At 37.6% G+C, this 21,944-nt stretch overlaps 1 protein-coding gene across 15 annotated transcripts in view, besides 2 other annotated features; it reads right to left on the bottom strand.

Annotated features, from left to right (window-relative positions):
• The window catches only part of AP3S1 (adaptor related protein complex 3 subunit sigma 1), a 72,147-nt gene that overhangs the window by 49,851 nt on the left and 352 nt on the right, over window positions 1–21,944 (bottom strand). For 2 of the 15 annotated variants that reach the window (NM_001002924.3, XM_047416696.1), the window contains exon 2: window positions 11,217–11,252. The exons of 12 other annotated variants lie outside the window; for them this stretch is intronic. In NM_001002924.3, coding sequence (NP_001002924.2) covers window positions 11,217–11,219 — 3 coding nt within the window. In that variant the 5' untranslated portion in view covers window positions 11,220–11,252. Of the gene's footprint in view, window positions 1–11,216; window positions 11,253–21,654; window positions 21,745–21,944 lie in introns of those variants that run through there. One more of the 15 variants, NR_157087.2, reaches the window with a different exon arrangement.
• Window positions 21,450–21,659: an enhancer, noted in NCBI's record as "active region_22939". NCBI's record gives its function as "activates an Ori minimal core promoter by ATAC-STARR-seq in GM12878 lymphoblastoid cells {active_cell/tissue: GM12878}" and the evidence as "EXISTENCE:reporter gene assay evidence [ECO:0000049][PMID:35858748]".
• Window positions 21,750–21,939: a silencer, noted in NCBI's record as "silent region_16256". NCBI's record gives its function as "represses an Ori minimal core promoter by ATAC-STARR-seq in GM12878 lymphoblastoid cells {active_cell/tissue: GM12878}" and the evidence as "EXISTENCE:reporter gene assay evidence [ECO:0000049][PMID:35858748]".

The following is a 21,944-nucleotide window of genomic DNA, read 5'->3' as shown; positions in this document are numbered from 1 at the left end:
TCTCATCCACTCCTTCTTATAGAACCAAGAGACTAGCAGCTGGTGTTTATCTTTTCCCTTCAAGGCTCAGGGATTAGCAGCTTTATAGATAAAGATAGTCCTCATCATAAACCTGAATGCATTTGCACAAAACAGTAGAGTTAGCCTATCCCTTCCAACTTTAAATCCTGGTGCTTGTTCCTCTTCCTTACTAAAAAATATCTTTTGTGGTAGATTTTTTTCTTTTTCCAGAATAAGGCACTTTCGTCTGCATTAAAAATCTGTTCAGGCAGACATCTTTTCTCTGCAATGGTTTTCTTAATGGTGCCTGGGAACTCGTCTGCTACCTCTTGGTCAGCAACAGCTGGCTTCTCCTGTCATCTTGACATTTTTAAACTCAAACCTCTTTCTATAAGCATCAAACCATCCTTTGCTGGCATTAAATTTTCCAGCTTTAGATCCTTTACCTTCCTTATGCTTTATGTTATCATATAATGACTTCATTTTTTCTCAAATCATATTCTATAGATATGCCTTTCTTATAGCATTCCTGTGCCCACATAAGAGCTGGATTTTCAATACGACGTAAAAAGGGATTTTGCAAAAGGTGCAAAGTTTTCTCACACACTGGCATAGCTATAGCTACAGATTCATGAATTTTCTTTTTCTTTTCTTTTTTTTGAGATGGAGTCTCCCTCTGTTGCCCAGGCTGGAGTGCAGTGGTGCAATTTTGACTCACTGCAACCCACCTCCAGGGTTCAAGCAATTCTCCTGCCTCAGCCTCCCGAGTAGCTGGGATTACAGGTTCCCGCCACCATGCCCAGCTAATTTTTGTATTTTTATTTTTATTTTTTTTCGAGATAGTTTTTGCTCTGTTGCCCAGGCTGGAGTGCAATGGCATGATCTCGCTCACTGCAACCTCCGCCTCCTGGGTTCAAGCGATTCTCCTGCCTCAGCCTCCCAAGTAGCTGGGATTACAGGCGCCCACCACCATGCCCAGCTAATTTTTGTATTTTTAGTAGAGACGAGGTTTCACCATATTGGCCAGGCTGGTCTTGAACTCGACCGAGGTGATCCACCCGCCTCGGTCTCCCAAAGTGCTAGGATTACAGATGGGAGCCACCACGCCCAGCCATAATTTTTGTACTTGTAGTAGAAAAGGGGTTTTGCCATATTGGCCAGGCTGGTCTCGAACTCCTGACCTCAAGTGATCCACCTGCCTTGGCCTCCCAAAGTGCTGGGATTACAGGCATGAGCCACCGTGCCTGACCATGAATTTTATTTTCTTTACAATAGTCCTTTTGCTGGATTCATTGAATACTGGGCAACCACAGCCACAGACCTCTATCTAAGGTACATAACAAGCAATTCAACTTTTTCTTGTAGCGTCATGATATTTCTCTGCTGCTTGGGAGCACTTCCAACATCACTAGTAGCACTTCATATGACTCCCATAGTGTTATTCAAGGTTTATGATATTACAACAAACATGATAACAAATTACACAGGAATTGGGAGAAAGCACTTTTTACTGTGATGTGCAATTTACTAGAGAGACAAATTGCTCACCAGGAGATGATTAGCATCACACAGCATTTTAAGCAGATTCTCAAAACACCTGAATTTACCACAATAGCAACAGAATGTTGGAATTATTACAGTAGTACAGTACAAACTACAGTTAATTTTATACAGTTATAATTTAATACTGCATCTTTACATTTGTTTACAGTTCTCTCCACTGAGAGTAGCACCACGTACTGAGAATAGCACCACGTCCAGTCTCTACGTGTTTGCATAAATTTTGATACATTTTAACTTTTTACAATGGATTTGTATATATTTTATGGTAGTAAATGATAAAATAAACTAGTATCTACTGTGTTTTATGCATTGATAACATATCTCCAAAGTTTTTAATTTTTTTTTATATTTCTAGGCTACACAATTGGCAAGTTTTTTCAATTTGTCAAAAATCTCCAAAAAACTTCCCAATAAACTTACTGAAAAAAAGCTGTGTGTAAGTAGACCCTTGCAAGAGTTGACTGTACATAAAAAAAATCTCTTAACCTCTGTACCAGGAGACAAACAGAAGAATGTTCATAAAAGCGCTGTTTGTAATAAGAAAAGTTGAAAATGACCCAAATGTCCACCAGTCACAGAAGGATAATTACGGAATGGAATTGTACAATGGAATCCTATAAAAAGTAAGTTAAAGAACCGAACCACGCCCTTAAATATGAATGATTCTGAGTTGGGCACAGTGGCTCACACCTATAATCTCAGCACTTTGGGAGGCTGAAGGGGATCATCACTTGAGCCCAGAAGTTCAAGATCAGCCTGGGCAACATAGCGAGACCCCATCTCAAAAAAAAAAAAAAAAAAAGAAAAGAAAAGAAAATTTTGGCCTGGTTCAGTGACTCACGTCTGTAATCCCAACACTTTGGGAGGCTGAGGTGGGATGATCTCTTGAGTCTAGAAGTTTAAGACCAGCCTGGTCAACATGGCAAAACCCTGTCTCTACAAAAAATTACCCAGGCATGGTAGTGCATGTCTGTAGTCCCAGCTACTTGGGAGGCTGAGGTAGGAGGATTGCTTGAGCCTGGGAGGTGGAGGTTACAGTGAGCCAAGATCATGCCACCACAATCCAGTCTGGATGACAGAGCAAGACCCTGCCTCAAAAAAAATTTTTTTAATAATAACTTTTTAAAATCCATTCACAATATCATCCCAAACAAGAAATTAAACAAATAAAAAACTTAGAAATAAATTTAACCAAAGATGTGCAAGCCGTGTTACTTCCTTTCTTAAAGATCTCTAGTTTTTATCTGACCTAAATACAAACTCCCTACCATGCCATAAAACGTTCTCCAAAATCTAAGCCAGACTAATCCCTGAAGTTTCATCATCTCTTTCTTCTCCCCTTTATGATCTGCTCCAGCCACATTGAACTTCTTACCATTCACCTTCTTCACATTTTCCCACTTCCGTCTGGGAACAACTTCCACACTCCATTCTCTAGCAACACCCTTTCTAAGACACAGCTAGAACATTATGACTTCTATGAAGTCTTTCCTGACTCTCAATTAAAATTAGTCCCTTTTTTCTCCATGGTTCCTTAGTATTGTTTCTATTCCTATCATACACTTATAACAATGTGCTCAAATTTCCTTTGTAGTAGTCTGAATTCTAACACCGGAACCTGAGCTTTGTATTTGAAATGCTCAGCAAAGTGGCTGATGTAGAGTAGCCAATAAAAGCGTATTGAATAAATAAATTTGTAATCTAGAAGACAGGATCCACAACCATTTATATTATCCAAAATCTGGGTTACCTTACACATAAAAAAGGCAATAAAGTTAAGGCAGTATGGTACAGAAGTTAAAAGTGCAAGCTGTGTTCTAATTAAGATGGTAAATTAAACACACATCTGCCTTTGTTGCCTGCCCAAACCCCAGCTAAGACAATATTAAAGGGCTTTTTTGGTAAAGGCATAAACACACAAGGATGAGGAGAATGGGAAAGGAAGACAACAACAACAAAATCTTGAAAGTGTTTAAATAAGTGTTAAAGTATTCTCAGAAAATTTAATCCTAAATTGGTGAGAGGGAAATCATAAAACTAACTCAATTTGTGTCACAAACTAGGCAAAAACCTCATGAATTGGTGCTTTTACATATGTCTGGAAGTGAAGATAAAGAGAGTACTGTAAAATAAGGATGGAAAGTTTGTTTGAAAAGCAGAAGGATCACTAAATTCCCACTACCATCCCCAACAAAAGTTCATAATTTTATTACTAGGAATAGATCAAAGGGAGGGTCTTCGGAGAGCAAGGGGTACTGTGGTAGCCAGAAAAACGGCCCACCAAAAAATGACAACATCCTAATCCCTGGAACCTGTAAATATGTGTGGTTAACATGACAAATGCCTTTGCAGATGTGATTAAGGACTCTGAGATGAAGATATTATCCCAGATTATATAGGTGGAGCTAATTGCATCGCATGGCACTTTAAAATCTGAGAATCTTTCCTGGGCTGTGGTCAGAGGGAGATGTGACTAGAGAAAAAGAATCACAGATATACTGCTATGCCGCTGGCTATGAACATGGAGAATGGAAGCCATGAGCAAGGAATGAGGGTGGCCTCTAGGAGCTAGAAAAGACAAGAACATAGATTCTCTCCCAGAGCCTCCAGAAAGGGATGCAGCTATACCAATACCTTGATTTTAGTCCAGTAAAACCCACATCTGACTTCTTACCTACAGAACCGTACAACGATAAGTTTGGGTTGTTTTAAGCCACTAAGTCTGTGGTAATTTGTTACAGTAACATAAAATAAATTCAGGGACCACACTGAAAACATGGGGATTAGGTAAATGTACAGATACCACCAGATCCTGTCTAATCAGTTCTCAGAATACCTAGAGGCAGGCCTTCTTCACCGTCTAGGCAGGAGATTGGAACATAACTCTGTAGGAACTCTAACTAGATCTAAAGATAATGATAATAGAGATACCAACTATGACAGAAAACTGTTAGCTGTTCACTAAAATCTAGTTCCCTTACTTCCAGGGCACACAATTTCACCCTCCCTTGAATTTAGGTGGAGCCATACAACACAGTTCTGGCCAGTGGAATGTGGCTAGTAGTTACAGTGGTATGCCAGAGCTGGCATGAAAGCCTACTGGGTGTATCTCTTCCTAATTCTGCATTTGGTGACATCATGTCAGTAGCCTGAAATTGGTCATGATGAAGTATTTATACCATAAAGATCAGCAAATGCTATAAATCAGAGCTTTTTCCTCCCAGATGATCAGGTTGTTAAAAATATACTACCCAAGCCTCACTCATAAAAATTCCTGCAAAATCTTCCATGCTAACTAGATGTAGAAGTTCCTTTGGCCCCTTCTCAAGAATGATAAAAAAAGGCCCACATGAAAGGTTCTAGTTGACCAAGAACACCAACGCTGGGCTTTATCCAAGTGAGAAACAAACTTGTATTACGTTAAGTCATGACGATTTGGGGAGTTGTAGTCACAATTCCAATTCCTACACTACCTAAACTGCCTAGCTTGATTACCTCAAGTAAAGATCGCACAGGCAACCTCTAATCATGGATTGAGAGCTTCCAATCAGCTTTCAGTACCCTATCCTTAGAAAGGAGCAGTCAGTCAAGGATTATTGGACAGCTGAAGACAACTCTAATATAGGTGCAGCAAACCACCATGGCACTTGTATACCTATGTAACAAACCTGCCCATTCTGCACATGTATCCCAGAATTTAAAGTATAATAAAAAATAAAAAATAAAAAATAAATAAATTTTTTTAAAAAGTTAAACATAAAATAGGGGAAAAAGCAACTCAGAGGAAACAAACCAAGTAAAAAGAAGAAAATTTAAAAATATATATCATTAATATAAGAGAAGTAAGAAAAGATAATACAACTATAAAATAACAGTATATTATAAAAGAGTGAAATTCAGAAATAAAGAAGCTCATGGGAATTTAAAATATATGGAGAAATTTTAAAAATTCAGTAGAAAACTGGAGAATAAAGGTGGGAAATTGACCCAAAGGGCACAAAGATAGAAAATGAAAGAGAAAGAATAAGATACGTAGAAGAGTCCAAAGAAATTCAGAAAAACTGAAAAAAGGAGACTCGAGAACAGAAAATGAAGAAATGTTTCCAGCAGGGGTCAAAAGTTTCTACGACCAAAGGACCCATCAAGTACCCAGCACAACTAATGAAAACAGACCAATGGCAAGGGTCTGTGAAACTGTAGAAACTCTGCCCAAAAAACAGGAATCTACAACTTTTTGGAAGGTATAAATGATCACACATCAAAGGTAAGTAATCAGAACTGCTTCAGACTTTTAAATAGCAACACTGGAAACTAAAAGGTGATGAAGCATATAATCAAAGTTCTGAGAAAAAATTCTAACCTAAAATTTTATATGCAGTCAATGTGGAGTCATAATAAAAATTTTTGGGCAGCATGCCAGATCACAAAAAATCTACTTCCCATGACCTTTTTCTCAAGAAATTGCTGGAGGGTATTACTGGCTCCACCATGGCAGGATAGTAAACAAAGAAATGAAGCAATAGGAGGTCCAACACAGGAAACAAGCAAAAGGAATCCCCTAAAATAATAAAGATCCCAGCATGACTGCCATACAACTGGTCTGGATTGGTCCTAGTCAAAAGGCTCCAGAAGAGATTTATTTAAGAACCTAAAACTGAGAAAAGATGTGTATGATTCAGACAACTGGCAAAGATGTAAACTAGTGATAAGTGCATTAAAAACTACATCAAATGAAAAGGTAATTACAACCTTTGAAGAAAAAGTGTCAGGAAAGAAAAAACAGTACAGTTTACAACATGGCTCAGCTGAAGATAGTGTTTACATAATAAATTAACGTAAACATCAAACACTGATCTAACCAAAATTATGAAATAACTATGAGGGGACTGGGAATTAGTTGTGGAGGAGAGGACAGCCAAATAATCATTTTTAATAGCAGAATAAATCATGTCTACAAGTAATAAATCAGGCAGTAAAACAAGTACATTATTTAGACACGTACATAAACACTGAAATCAGCAGCTAAAAATAGTTACTTGTGGAAAGGGAGAAATGAAATGTTATTTTTCATAACAAACCTTATGAAACTATTAGATTCTTTAACCAATATGTACGTATAACTTGAAGAAACAAACTAAAAGAAGGAAAGGAGGAGAGTAAATAATCTGCAACCAGATATATGGGTTTATTCCTGGATGTACTCTTTGTTAACTCTGTGACTTTGAGCAAGTTACTTATCCTCTCTGTGCCTGAGTTTTCCTCATTTGTAGCATGGAGAATGCAACAATATCTACCTCATGGTGGTGTTGTGAGAACTGAGTTCATACACTTACTTTATACATACGTGTACATACTTGTAGAATGATATCTGGCATATAATAAGCATGCATTAACACTGACTTATTTTTAAGTACTACCTCTGGGCCTTATCTGAAAAGTCAGCTCTACAATTCTAAGGACAATAAAATCTCATAGGAAGTTTTCTTTTAAGGAATGTTATCTTTCTGTATTATATTACTGCTTATCAAGGAAGAGGTCAACTGTGCTAACCTTTAACTATGTTTCATTACATTGATAGTGAAAGAATTTCTCATAGGAACTTCAACTGCTGCCACTTGGAATCTTCTTAGAATGCTGGCAATACTCAACTAAGAAAATCAGTAGCGGTGGTTACCAGCGGCTGGTGGTGGGAATAAAAGGAGGAACGGGGAAAGCAAAAATGTTGATCAAAGGGCACAAAGTTTCAGTCAGACTGGAGGAATAAGTTTTTGTGATCTACTGAACTGCATGGTGACCACAGTTAATAATAATATATATTTTAAAACTTCCAGAAGAATGTATTTTTAACATTCTCCCCACAAAGAAATAATAAGTTGGTGAGATTATAGATACGTTGCTAGGTGCAGTGGCTCACGTTTGTAATCCCAGCACTTTGGGAGGCCGAGGCCGGAGGATTGCTTGAAGCCAGGAATTTCATACCAGCCTGGGCTACAAAGTGAGACCCCATCTAAACAACAACAACAACGTTTTAAAAACTTAGTTGAGCATGGTGGTGGGCACCTGTAGTCCTGGCTACCAAGGAGGCTGAGCCAAAAGTATCCCTTGAGGCCCTTGAGCCCTGGAGGTTGAGGCTGCAGTGAGCTAATGATCACACCACTGCCCATCAGCCTGGGCATCAGGGCATTCCAGCCTGGGAGACAGGGCAAGATGCTATCTCTAGAAAAAAAAAAAAAAAGATGCTGGATGTATTAACTAGCTTGATTGGATCCTTTTATAATGTATACATAGATCAAAACATCACACTGTACCCCATAAATATGCACAGTTATTATATCAATTAAAAATGAAGAAAAAAGAAAACAATATAGGAAAGAATGCCTTAAAATTTTAATCAAACATCCAAAGGCTAAGCTAAAATTAAATAAGTATCTGCTGACATAAAACTATTTTCCTTATTTAACTTAGCAGCTTTCATTAAGGAGCCTAGAACTTGCTTCAGGCTGATCAGATTTCCTAACACTATAGTTTCACAACCGAAGTCAAAAGAGCTATATTTCAGTTGGTCACAACTCCTAGATTACATCAGTCTAAAGACAACTACAGTTACAAAAGGGCACAAACTTTTATTATTTTAATATTTCTTAATGTAGTAATGAAAAACAAAAATAAACTTTAAAAAAAACAGAAACCCACTAACAATATTTTCTCTTTTCCTACGTTTCCCTCCTGTCCTTATGCATATATCACACAGGCAACTTTAAAACTTCCCTCTAATCATAGTCAATGTCATCTCCCATCCTCATCATTCTTTTAAAAATTTAGGAAAGTATTTTCTTAAAATGCATTCATTCACTCTGGTAAATGTTAAAATACAGAGGATTACCAAGATCAAAGACAAATAGATCCTTTTCTCAAACAGCTTATGATCTAATACAAGAAGTAAAATATAGATATCATTATTTTGAATTTATAGTTTTGTATTTTGCCTTTTTTATATTTCAAAAAAAGAAACCGAATTCCTCATAATCAACTGGGTGCAGTGGCTCAAGCCTGTAATCCCAGCACTTTGGGAGGCCAAGGTGGGAGGATCACCTGAAGCCAGGAGTTCCAGACAAGCCTGGGCAACATGGTGAAACCCCATCTCTACAAAAAATACAAAAATTAGCTGGGCATGGTGATGCATGCCTGTAGTCCCAGTTACTCAGGAGGCTGAGGTTAGAGGATCACCTGAGCCCAGGGAGATCAAGGCTGCAGTGAGCCGTGATATACCACCGGACTCCAGCCTAGGTGGCTGAGCGAGGCCCTGGTTGAATAAAAATATTAAAATAGGACTAGGCACGGTGGCTCACGCCTGTAATTCCAGCACTCTGGGAGGCCAACGCAGGCAGATCATTTGAGGTCAGGAGTTCAAAACCAGCCTGATCAACATGGTGAAACCCCATCTCTACTAAAAATACAAAAAAAGTGGTGAGGCATGGTGGTGTATGCCTGTAGTCCCAGCTACTCAGGAGGCTGAGGCAGGAGAATCGCTTGAACCCAGGAGGTGGAGGTTGCAGTGAGCCGAGATTGCACCACTGCACTCCAGCCTGGGTGACAGAGACAGAGATAGATAGATAGATAGATAGATAGATAGATAGATAGATAGATATAAAATATATACATACACACACACACATATATAAGCATACATATATAGAAAATAACTTTATAATAAAAGGTAGAGGGCGATTTCTGACATAAGAGTAGTACAAATAACATACTGTAAGAAGTCAAGAGGAACAATGATTTTGAGCAGCAAGACTGTCATCTTCAAAGAAAAGTGACAAATACTGAGGAAGGGCATTAAAGAATAGGTAGAATTCAAAAATATAGAGAATGGGGAGTATGAAGTTACATGAAGGGCAGAAGTAAAATGTGGACAAAATCACAGAATCAAGAAAATATATGAAGAATAATAATAGTTTATGTTGCACTTAAAAAAAAAAAAAGAGATATCTGAGGACAAAGCCTCAGAGCACTCCAAACATTTAGGAATCATGAAAAAGAGAAGACCCTAGCAAAGAAAATTCAGTTAGTGTGTTTTCTGCCAAGGCCTCTCCTAAGAAGTCTGGCTGGAGACTCTGTGTACATGGGCAGGCCTAACTTCAGCCAGAGTGTGCAAAGAACCAGCAATCAGGATAGCAGTATCCTCAAATCCCAAACAAGAAGAGACTGGGGCACCTACAATAGTAACTTAATTAGAACTCTCCAAGATATCTCATTAAATTTCTTTAGAGAAGAATTCTCTCCTATTTTCTCTTACAATGTATAAAAAATGCTTAGCATGCACAAAAAAGTACTCAATAAATGGCAGGTATAATTAACGCCCTAAACCACCATCAACCATTCTGCTTTGGTTTGAATGTCTCCCCCAAAGTTCATGTGTTGGAAATTTAATCTCCAACGCAACAGTGTTAAAACGTAAGACCTTTAAAAGGTGATAAGGTCATGAGGGCTCTGCTCTCATGAATGAATGAAGGTCATTATTACAGGAGTGGGTTATCAAAGCAAGTTTTCTCCCACACTTGCCCACGTGTGCATACCATGTGATGCCTTTCACCATGTTATGATGCAGCAGGAAGGCCCTCACCACACGTGGCTCCTTGACCTTGGACTTCCCAGCCTCCAGAACCATGAACCAAATAAATTTCTGTTCACTATAAATTACTGAGTCTCAAGTATTCTGTTATAGAAGCAAAAAATGAACAAAGACACATATTAAAATATTTCCCAATTTCAATGGCAAACACTCTATTACTGAAATAACAAAAAGCTGAGAAGGTGACAGACTGAGTTTGAAATATTTAGAGAGTCAACCATGGTGGTAGCTGGAAGGTCTAAGAACTCCAAGAACAAGATAAAATCTGGGAGGAAACCTTGGAGTAAAGTACCAAGGCAATTCAATAGGGAAAGAATAATCAACAAATGGTGCTCAAACAACTAAATATCCACATGTAAAAGAATAAAACTGGATCCCCACCTCACACCATACACAAAACTAACCTGAAATGGACCACAGACCTAGGTATAAGAATTAAGGCTACTAAACTCTTGAAAGGAAACACAGTTACAAGATTTTGACCTTGGAGTAGGCAAAGATTTTTTAGATAGGATACCAAAAGCTCAAGTGAAGAAAAAAAGAGATAAACTAGATGATATCAAAATTCAAAACCACTGTGCTACAAGTGATAGCAGCAAGAAAGTAAAAAGACAACCTATGGAATGGGAGGAGATACATGCACATCATATACCTGACAAAGGATCTGCACTTAGAGTATATTAAGAACTCTTACAAGTCAATAATAAAAAGACAACTTAAAAACAGGCAAAGGATTTGAATATATATTTCTTTCAAAAAGGTATGTAAATGGATGATAATCACATGAAGAGATGTTCAACATCATCTGTCATCAGGAAAATGTAAGTGAAAATCACAATAAGATACTACTTGATACCCATCAGGACAGCTAGAATAAAAATAACCAACAATAACAAGAGTTGGTTAGGATATGAAGAAACTGGAGCCCTCAGACATTGTTGGTGGGAATGTAAAATGGTACAGTCACTTTAGAATATAGTCTGGCATTTCTTCAAATAATTAAACATATTCTTACCATATGATTTGGCAATTTTACTCCCAGTTATATACCCTAGAGAAATGAGAATATATGGTCACAGAAAAATTCATACATGAATGTTCATAGCACCATTATTCATAGTAACCAAAAAGTGGAAACAACCCAGATGTCCATCAATTGATAAATGGACAAACAAGATACAGTGTATATATATTTCCCCATACTAAAATATTATTTAGCTATAAAAAGTAATGAAATATTAATATATGCTACAACATAGGCAAATCCTGAAAGCATCATGTAAAGTAAAAGAAGCCAATCACAAGACTGTAATATTTCATGATTCCATTTATATAGAATGTTCAGAATAGAAAAATCTAAGGAAACAAAACAGATTAGTGGTTGCCAGGGACAGTGGGGAGTGGGGATTGAAAAGTGACTGCTAATAGTTACTAAATTTCATTTAGTTTGACAAAAATGATCTAAACTTAGATTGTGGCGATGGTTGCACAACCATGATATAATTCTAGAAGCCACTGTATTATATACTTTAAATGGGTGAATCTTATAGCATGTGAGAGCTATATTTTAATTAAGATTTTTTTTAAAAGGTTAGCTAATTTCTCAGAGAAAATGAAAGAAGCTGGGGCAACTTTTACAGCCATACTTTCTCCTATAAAAGTCTTCTTACAGAACTTTTCTGTGGAAGAGTGTTTGAGGACTTTCCATTTTATAAGCAGCAAGTTCATTCCAAAACAGGGCCCACATACTCTGGTTTCTCTTCAGATCTTACAAACCTTTTGCCTTTTACCAAAACAGGGCCCATATAATTTAAACACTGGGGTTTTTGGAAAAAAAATAAAATAAAAGAGATAATTCATTCTGAGAAAACACAAAGAGTATTTGAGAACAATCTCTGGTGTGTTCTATAGTCCTATGACTGACTACATGATCTTCCACTTAGAAGTAGAAAGTAACAAGCAGTAATAAAAGTAATCATTATTATTTACACAGCAGTTACTAAGTCTTTGTATGTCAAGCTCCACAACCATTCTCTTATTTAATCTCATCAAAAAACCTTACTCAAAATTGAAGTCCACATTGATTGGTTAAATTATAGTATACTATACAATGTACTATTATATAGTAATTAAAAAAATATTTTCTGGGTATGATACCAAAAGCAAGCACCAGCAACAACAACAACAACAACAACAAAAACGTAAGTTAAATCTCATTAAACAGTTGTGTGTATCAAAGGACACTATCAACAGAGTAAAAAGGCAACCACAGAATCAGAGAAAATATTTGCAAATCATATATACAACAGGAGACTGATATCTAGAATATATTTTTAAAACTCCTACAACTTAACAACAAAAACAAACAACTGAATATTAAAATGGGCAAAAGACTCAAATAGATATTTTTCCAAAGACATACAAATGGTCAATAAACACACAAACAGACCCACAACAGCACTAGTCACTAAAGAAATGCAAATCAAAACCATAATGAGGCACCACTTCATAAACATTAAGATGGCTATTTTCAAAAAACAAAAAATAACGTGGATGTAGAGAAACTAGAACCTTTGTGCATTGCTGGTGGGAATGTAAAATGGTACAGCCACTGTGGAAAATGATGTGCCGCTTCCCCACAAAAAAGCAAAACATAAAATTACCATATAATCTAACAATTCCACTTCTGGGTATGTACCTATAAAAAGTAAAAGCAGGCACTCAAACAGATATCAGTACATCTATGTTCACAGCATTATTCATAATAGCCAAAGGATGGAAGCAACCCAAGTTTCCACTGACAAACGGATAAACAAAATACGGCATCAAGAAAGAAACTTTTATCTGAGGAATGCAAGTCCTTTTAAATGATCTGGCCCAGAAAGGCATTAAAATGTGACAGCAATCACATCCTACTTCTCTCCTTTGAGCTATGAGAAATATTTATCTATTGAAACTGCTTTATACTGCCACAAGTAACTAGAAAATAACCTAATAATGCTGCACCACACACTATAAACTACTCCCTGCATCTCAACAATGTTAGTCAATCATTAACCAAAGTTATTTCTATAAACTAGTGAGAATTCCTGACAGACAACTTAGTATCAGCCCACTCCATGTCCCCTTTATTTAATGCCTTCACAAACCTGCTTGTAACAATGGCCAAAGGGAGCTCATATCCAAGGATACTTGAGTCTGAGTCTCCCAGGCAACTGTTCTCATTTTGGCTCAAGTAAACTCTTTGAATCCTATTTTGTGCTTCAGCCTCTTCCTTTTAGGTCGATGGTATGTACACACATACAATGAAATATTATTCCGCCTTAAAAATTACGGAAATTTTGATACATGCTACATAACATGAGTGAACTTCGAAGACGTGCTAAAAGAAAAGCCAGTTTCCAAAACACAAAAATTCTATGATTCCTCCTATATGAGGTTTTTAGAGCAGTCAAATTCATAGAGACACAAAGTAGAATGGTGTTTGCCAGGTACTAGGAGAAGGGGAGAATAGGAAGTTAGTGTTTAATGTGTAAGAAGTTTCTGTTGGGAAAGACTAAGTTCTACAGATGGATGGGTGGTGATGGTGACACAACAATGTGAATATACTTCATGCCACAAAACTGTACACTTGCAACTGTTAAAATGATAAATTTTGTTATATATTTTTTACTACAATAAAATTTATTTTATAACCCTTTCATGTCACACTAAGATATATTAATGACAGGAAATAGGATATGTATGCGGTAGAATCAACTAGTACTCTTCCTCAGTAAGCACAAGGTAATCAAAACAATTCAGTGGGTCTGGAATATTAAAAGATAGCCCTTTCCTCCTGAGTAACAAAGAGAACTGTGACTGACAGCAAGTGATTCTTGTAATTACACCAGGCTTGCAAGAGTGGAAAAATGTAAATGCTTTTCAGTACAATAGAGGTGGGTCTAGTGGGCTTCACATAAACTCTATTCACATATAATTAAGACAATAAGCTAAGAAAAAAATGGTTTTCTTCTTGAGTTCTGTTACTTCACAGGTGACTTACGAAAGCTTGATCACAGGTCTCATTGATAGAGAGGCTATACAGAACTGGAGCACTCATGTTTTTTGTTTCCTTTGTTTTTGTTTTTTTTTTAGAAGACAGGGGCCCTGCTATGGTTGCCTAGCATAGCCTCAACTCCTGGGCTCAGGCAATCCTCCCACCTTACCCTCCCAAGTAGCTGGGACTATAGGCACACACCATGCCTGGTTTTGATGCACTGACTTTTACCTTCATTCACTGGCCTAGCAACACCTTCTTTACAGAGCCTAACAATAACTGGGTAGAGAAGAAAGTAACCAATCAGAGGAGAGCCTCACTGCCCCTTCTGCAGAGGCACTGTTTAAATGGCAAAATGCAAGTGTGATTCAAAGAGGAGTATCTCCTCTTGTGGAGAACATGCTGGGCATGATGTCATCAAACTGAATTATGTCAAGAAGGGGCATGGTGTGGCATACAGGCATGATCTGTCCCCATCGTTCTCTTTAGCTTTATCTCCTGCCTCTCTTCCCCGTGATTTCTCAGCTTGCCTTCTTGCTATTCCTGAACACATCAAGTGTGGTCCCATTTGAGGGACACTGCACTTCTTTCTGCCTGAAACATTCTTTTCTTTACTGTTTTCATATTCTTCCTCTCTTATCTCATTCAGTTTTCCTCTCAAATGTCAGGTCGTCAAAGAGGTATTCCCAATGACCCTATCTAATATAGGCTTTCCTCCATCAAGCTTTATTCCCTTATACTGTTTCATTTGTCTTCAGACTAATTACAATCTTAAATAATTTACTGCCTATCTCCTATCACCAGAATGTAAACCCACAGGGCAAGGGTGACATCCGTCTTACTTATCACTGTATTACTAGTGCTTAGAATAGGGCCATACAAACAACAAATAAATACTTGAAAGAATATGGACAGGAAAAGAGAAAGAGTGTAATGGAGAGACAGATCAGAAAGTATCCAGAAAGACCACCCCTCTTCCCAGAGGCCTATCTCTAGAAGGCCTAGTCAGAGGCCTAACTCTACAAGGGCTTCCTCCACTTGGAATCTTAAGAAAACAGTTATTAGCTAGAATTGTCCTTTATTCACTTCAATATCCTTCTAAGAGTTGCTTGATTCTTCAGCAAAGAAAGCTGTTTTAACTATATTGTACTTCAAAGGATTTGATGAGAGGAAAGCTGAAAAGGCAGATGGGTGAGGAAAAAATGTGTTTAGTTAGCCTAATGTGACAGTTTTATACAACAAGAAGTTGGAAGGGGACTGGGCCCTCTAGATGGTAACAACTCAGAATCACCTTGAATTATAAAACAGCAGTGACAAAATCCATAATCCACAGGTACAAAAAAGACTAAGTGCTAAAGGTAAGAATGAACTCTTGACTTTCAAACAAAAATTAGCAAAGATTTCCTTTCAGAACGAAAAAGACAAGGACACTGATAACCTCAGGTTACACAGGTAAGTTTAATTTTATACAAAAGAAAGATATATACACATTTCTTAGGACATGCAAATTATTAATGTGCTATTACCATATACTGTCTTTTTTAAATTTTAACAAGAGAGTGGCTGAACATTAACATATTCAGTTATCTTAAAGCCACAATGTTTAATAAATCCATCATCAGCTTCAAAGCATTTATTTGTGTTATTAATGTCTAAAAGGTATATCCTATTCACTGGGACATTCTGAAAAGAAAAATAAAGACCGGGGGGAAATACACTAAGTGTTAATAATTATCTGTGTGTGGTAAAATCAAGAATGACCTTAGTGGCCTTAATATTTAATTTTCCACAGTCACAAAAAAAGAAACTTACTTAAAATTGAAAACAACTTTGCTAAAGAATATAATATAGGTACGTCACGTAAGGCCTTCTTTTAGAAAAGCCATGAAATGACCTATAACATTGTCCTATTTATAACACTTACCTCATAACCAAAAATCATTTTAACTTTGAAGACTTTATTTCCTCCTTTACAATTAAATATTCAAAAGGTTTAGTCTTAATTTTTAAAAAGCAAGTTTTCCAGCATACTCCACATAAAAACTGTGAACGTATAAGCATTTGGGTTTTTCGAGGATACTTTGATATAAGGAAAACCTGAAATTAAGATCTATTGTGACACAGGTTCAGTATTGCATATTACAAGGAACTATTCCTGATATTAACAACCTCAGAAGCAATCTAAAATTTCAGAAAACTAATATATATTAAAAGCTAATAAAGAGGGAATAGTGGTGATAGACATGTTAGTTAGCTTGATTTACCCATTTCACAATATATACATATACAAAAATAACATGTACACGGTAAATATATGTAATTTTTTTTTGTCATCTATACCTCAATAAAAACATATATTTTTTTAAATTTGTTGAGACAGGGTCTCCTCTGTCACCCAGGCTGGAGCGCAATGGCGCAATCTCAGCTCATTGCAGCCTTGATCTCCGGAGCTCAGTGATCCTCTCACCTCAGCCACCTAAGCAGCTAAGACTATAGGTGTGTGCTAACATGACTCACTAATTTTTGTATTTTTGGCATAGAGACAGGGTTTTGCCACGTTGCCCAGGCTTGTCTTGAACTCCTGGGCTCAAACAATCCTCCCATCTAGGCCTCCCAACGTGCTGGGATTACAGGCATGAGCCACTGTACCCGGCCATAAAAATAAATATTTTTTTAAAAGTTTAGAAGAAGAAATAGCAGACCCTTGTTTGCCTACCCACCATCCACTCCTTTCTTTCATCTTTCCAACAGAATATCCATTTTATTCCCGTTTTCACTCTCATCTTCAGCTCCAATCCAAAGTTGGATGTTGATTAGGGTAAGAATATTGGTCTTGGGTGGGTCTAACCAGAATGAAGGGAAAGACACAGTCCAGGACTGCAGAAACAGATGGTTGTCTCTTTCTGAATTGAACTGATTACCAAAGGAGAAAAACAGCCTTTGGATAATAGTAATTTTGTGATGAGTAAAGCAGAGAAAGAGAAAGAAATTGGATCTACAATAAAGTCATTGATTTGCTGAATCAAATACTTTTGGAATCGGTCTACTACTCTGCACTTCCTATAATGTACCTAACATAGTTCTTTCCAAGCACTTGAGTCAGGCTACATAAAACCCAATTTATGCAGACAAACGCATTATAACTAATATGGAAGGAAACCAAATCGTATGGAATTTTCTTCTTAACAAAAAGCTGAAATGCCGTGTGTTAGTATGTGTTAACACCCTCATACTCAGGAGTGTTGATAATTCTATCTTGATCACAGACATAAGTTTAATTATCCCATCTGCCACAACGTCTTAATAGTCACTAAAAAAAGACATGAGTGAACATGGATGGATCTTTTTAAGGGATATTTTTAAAAGAAAAAAGAAGTTATCTATACTTTCAACACTTTGTATTTTTATGTTAAGATTTAAAAAAAAAAAAAAAAACGAGAAAGAAGAATCTTAGAGTTCCTCCTAAGGCTTGCATTTGGTTAACAGTTTAATTAAATACAGTTTATTAAAAAAATTGAGGCAACTCATATAGGTTAATTTGAAATTTTTCCTGCTTGCACTTAATATGTGTGTGGTGTGTACACACACATGCATACATACACACAGTATTTTATATCTGAAGAAACAACTAAGATAATTCACACAAAAGAAAGACATTTCCACTTTATAAAAGTAATTCACAGGCCAGGCATGGTGGCTCAGATCTGTCATCCCAGCACTTTGGGAAGCCAAAGCTGGAGGAGTGTTTGAGGCCAGGAGGTTAAGACCAGCCTGAGCAACATAGTGAGACCTTTTCTCTATAAAAAAAGAAAAATTTTTTAAAAGTAATTCACCAGAGGATACACTATGGAATCACAACCGAAGGGATTTTTTTGTTTGATAGCTATGTAAAAATATATTTAGTTTATAAAATATAAGTCTCATTAGTTATTTACAGTAATGCACAAATACTGTCAGGTAAGTATTAAAAGACTAAAGGTTACTGTTGTCAAGTCGCTGAAGCTAAGTATCAACTTAAAAAGACAAACCAAGCAAAACATTTGAATTTGTGCAGTCATAGACCAAGGATATAGAAGGCAAAAACGAAAAGGGATGCATTTTGAGTCCAGACTTGAATTTTTTTTTTTTTTTTTTTTTTTTTTTTTTTTTTTTTTGAGATGGAGTCTCACTCTGTCACCCAGGCTGGAATGCAGTGGCACGATCTCAGCTCACTGCATTCTCCACCTCCCCAGGTTCAAGCAATTCTCCTATCTCAGCCTCGAGCGAGTAGCTGCACTTATAGGCGTGCGCTACCATGCCTGGCTAATTTTTGTATTTTTAGTAGAGATGGGGTTTCACCATGTTGGCCACACTGGTCTTGAACTCTTGACCTCAGGTGATCCGCCTGCCTTGGCCTCCCAAAGTGCTGAGATTACAGGCATGAGCCATGGCACCCAGCCCACACTTGAATTCGTAATGTCTGACTCTAGCAGAATGAACCAAAACTTCTGTTTAGCAAAACAGGTGCGCAACTTCCTATTTCTCACATATAACAGCTTGGAGCCACAATCGAATCTAACAATCTATTACAGCATGAAATGGAAATGTGCACTGTTAAAGGGCAGAGATGAATATGTAAGTTGTTATATTTGAGGGAGATAAATGAGGAATGAAAATGAAGTGCAGTAGGATAAACTTGTTGGCAAATGGTTAAACATTTTTTAAACTGCTCAGTGTTAAACGATTACTGTTGGACTCAAACCTCAGCATCCTGCCAGTATATGGAATTGTTAGCTCAGTCACACCTCTAGATATTGTTTAATAAATTAAACTCAATATTTTTATTCATATTGGACATATACTTCTTAGAGACCCCTTAAAACAGAAACAGCTGAGTAACACATATGCCATCATTACTTTTATGCTAAAGGCAGAGATTCTTAAAACCTCTAGTTAGTGAAGGACTACATTTTAAGAGATAGAAGGAAACTCAGCAAGTTAACTAATCCCAACTCTATCCCAAGCTAGGAGATTCTAAATAAATGCATTTAGCAAAGAGTTAGAGAGTTTTCTATGTTCAAGACTCAGTGTTGACTGCTTAGAATGACAAAAATATACCTAAAATCTGATACGTTCCTTCAAGTATTCTATAGGATGGCTGCCACGAGGAATTATAGGCTGTGAACGAGAATACTGTGTCATAACAAAGATGAAAAAAATCCTAAAAACCAGGAGGAGGCTTTGAGCAAGATCAAAGGCTTCACGGAATGTTTAGGTGATGTTTGTGCTGGGCCTAGAACAAGGGGTTGAATTTGTACACGTGGCAATGGAAAGGAAGGACATTCCAGGCAGCAAGAATAGAATGACGCCCTACACAAACAGACACTTCCAACTAATGTTCCCTTACACAGTCTGCTCCTGCTATGTACAAGTTCCTGGGGTTCTTCAAACAGGCGCTCTCCTCAGGGTTTTTGCATTTGCTGCTCCTTCTACCCGGGATGCTCTTCCCCCAGATATCTGCAAGGCTGCCTTTCTTACCTCCTTCAAGTCTTTGCTCAAATGCCACCTTCTCAGTGAGAACTTACCAGACTACCCTATTTTAAACTGTCATCCTCTCACTCTCTAAGACTCTTACCCGCTTTATTTTTTTTTCCACAGCACGTAATACTATCTGGCATGCTATAATACAGCCTACTCCTTAATAGTGCTATGTTCCTCACACAAGAGCGAAAGTTATCTGTTCATCTTCAGATTTTAAAACAGTGCCTGCACATGGTAGGCATAAATTAAATTTATCCGTTGACAAACTGATGGAATGAATGACTGAAAAAAAATAACTGCCCTCAAAAAGGTTATGGTCTAGTGGAGGAAGCAAATGTATAAATAAATAATCTTAAATTATTCCTGAAAGACAAAAAAACACTCGGCAAAACCCAACTTATAGAAACTTAAAACACAGAAACAACTTCTCATACTCCACCTATAAACGGCCAGTGACCACCAGATTCTTCTTTTTATATCTTCTAGCTCTGTGCCCTCAGTGGCACTGTCACTCATACAATGGCCAAAAATGCCACCAGAGCTGCCACTCCTGCCAAAACTGCCACTTCCCACATTAACCGTCACTGCTACCTAGTAAGTGATGGTAAACAATACTTCTGTTCCCACTTTTGGACAAGGGAAAGACAGATTTCTGAGTTTCTAAATTAAATGCATTTTTCAATAGATAGTTAAATTATACACTATACGAGTAGTATACACCGATTACATGGATTAGCCAGGAAACCCACTATTTTTAATATTGCTTAAGTTTAGATATGGAAAAATAATTTTTTGAATTGTTTTACTATTGCAACATACCTTTTTTACACTGCAAATGGATGACACTGGCAAAATGGTTATGACAAAGACTCCTTCAATAAAGGCTGGTACTATATTTTAACAAACAGGTAAAGTTAATGGCATTTTTTCCCATTCGGGAGGATCAACTAGAATTTAATCTGGATTAAAGAATGATGTAGAATTTTTAAACAGACCATTAGTATTGAAGTTATACTAAATTAAAACCACACACGAGTAGCAGAAAATATTCTTTATAGCTAGCAAAAGCAAAACAACTGAAAAAAATGAAGAATAAGCTCAAGATTTCTCACTTCAACTAACACCTCCAGACTGCATTATCATTTTAGGCAAACTGACATTTTCACATTTACTTTGTAATGGCAAGATTGATTTCCATCTGGGACTTATCTGCATAAAAGTGTTAGCCTTGGCACAATTTCAAAATTGAATTGAAAGCTCATTTCTTGCTATAAGCAAAGTGCCACAATACCACACAACAGTTATACCTCACATTAATCCTACCACTGGGAGTCCAATTTTATGTGTTTCAGCTAGCGAATTCTGCCCTCAGGTAAGCACATAACTCTATAAAACCCTTCCTCGATCATCAACAAATCACTTATCTCTACTACCTTAATGCCTCCTGCACTTGTCCATACTAAACAGTATTTACACGTTAAAAGAGAAGTTCTACAAATGCTACTATTCTTCATAAATAGAAAAAAACTATAAATGAGGGCAAATTCCCATACGTGGAAAAATGCCAAACCAGAAGCTGAAATCATAACTTTTAGGTATAGAACCACAGCTCCAATCAGTCAACTACAAACGTCGCCGGTTACTTCGAGGGTAAATAATTTGCAGCCAGCTGGTAAAAAGCCTGATAAAAATATTAGGTCCTCACATATCTTCCTTTTCAATAAGGAGACACCTGAAAGTCACACTGGGCAGTCTGTCACGTATCGAAACATGCAGAAGAGAGACTGTACAGAACGTGCAGTTATCAAACGCAGGAAGCCAAAGTTCCTGTGCTATGAGAGGACCACAGTGAAAAACGGTAGCCCATCTGTCCAAAGAACAGAAAGAAGTCCACCTGGAAAGGATGGGAGTCGGCGGAGGGGGGCGAGAAGAACGAGTTCCACGCCGTCTTCCTCCTCCCGGGCTAACTGCAGCCGCGGGCGGCAGGAAGGCAGCCGCGCGGGGTGGGCTCTTGGGGACTGGGCGCAGGGCTCCGCGGCGCGGCTGGGCTGCGGCTGCCCGATCGGCGAGGGCCGGGCCCCGGGAAGTCTCCAGGGCCTCGCCCGCGCAGCCAGGAAAGCATGCAGCCCACCGACGGGCGGAGGAACCGCCCGGGCAAAGCCACGTCGGTGGCTGACCGCGCGG

Source organism: Homo sapiens, chromosome 5 (genome assembly GCF_000001405.40).
Source record: "Homo sapiens chromosome 5, GRCh38.p14 Primary Assembly".
Taxonomy (NCBI): domain Eukaryota; kingdom Metazoa; phylum Chordata; class Mammalia; order Primates; family Hominidae; genus Homo; species Homo sapiens.
This window is presented reverse-complemented; position numbering and strand designations above follow the sequence as displayed.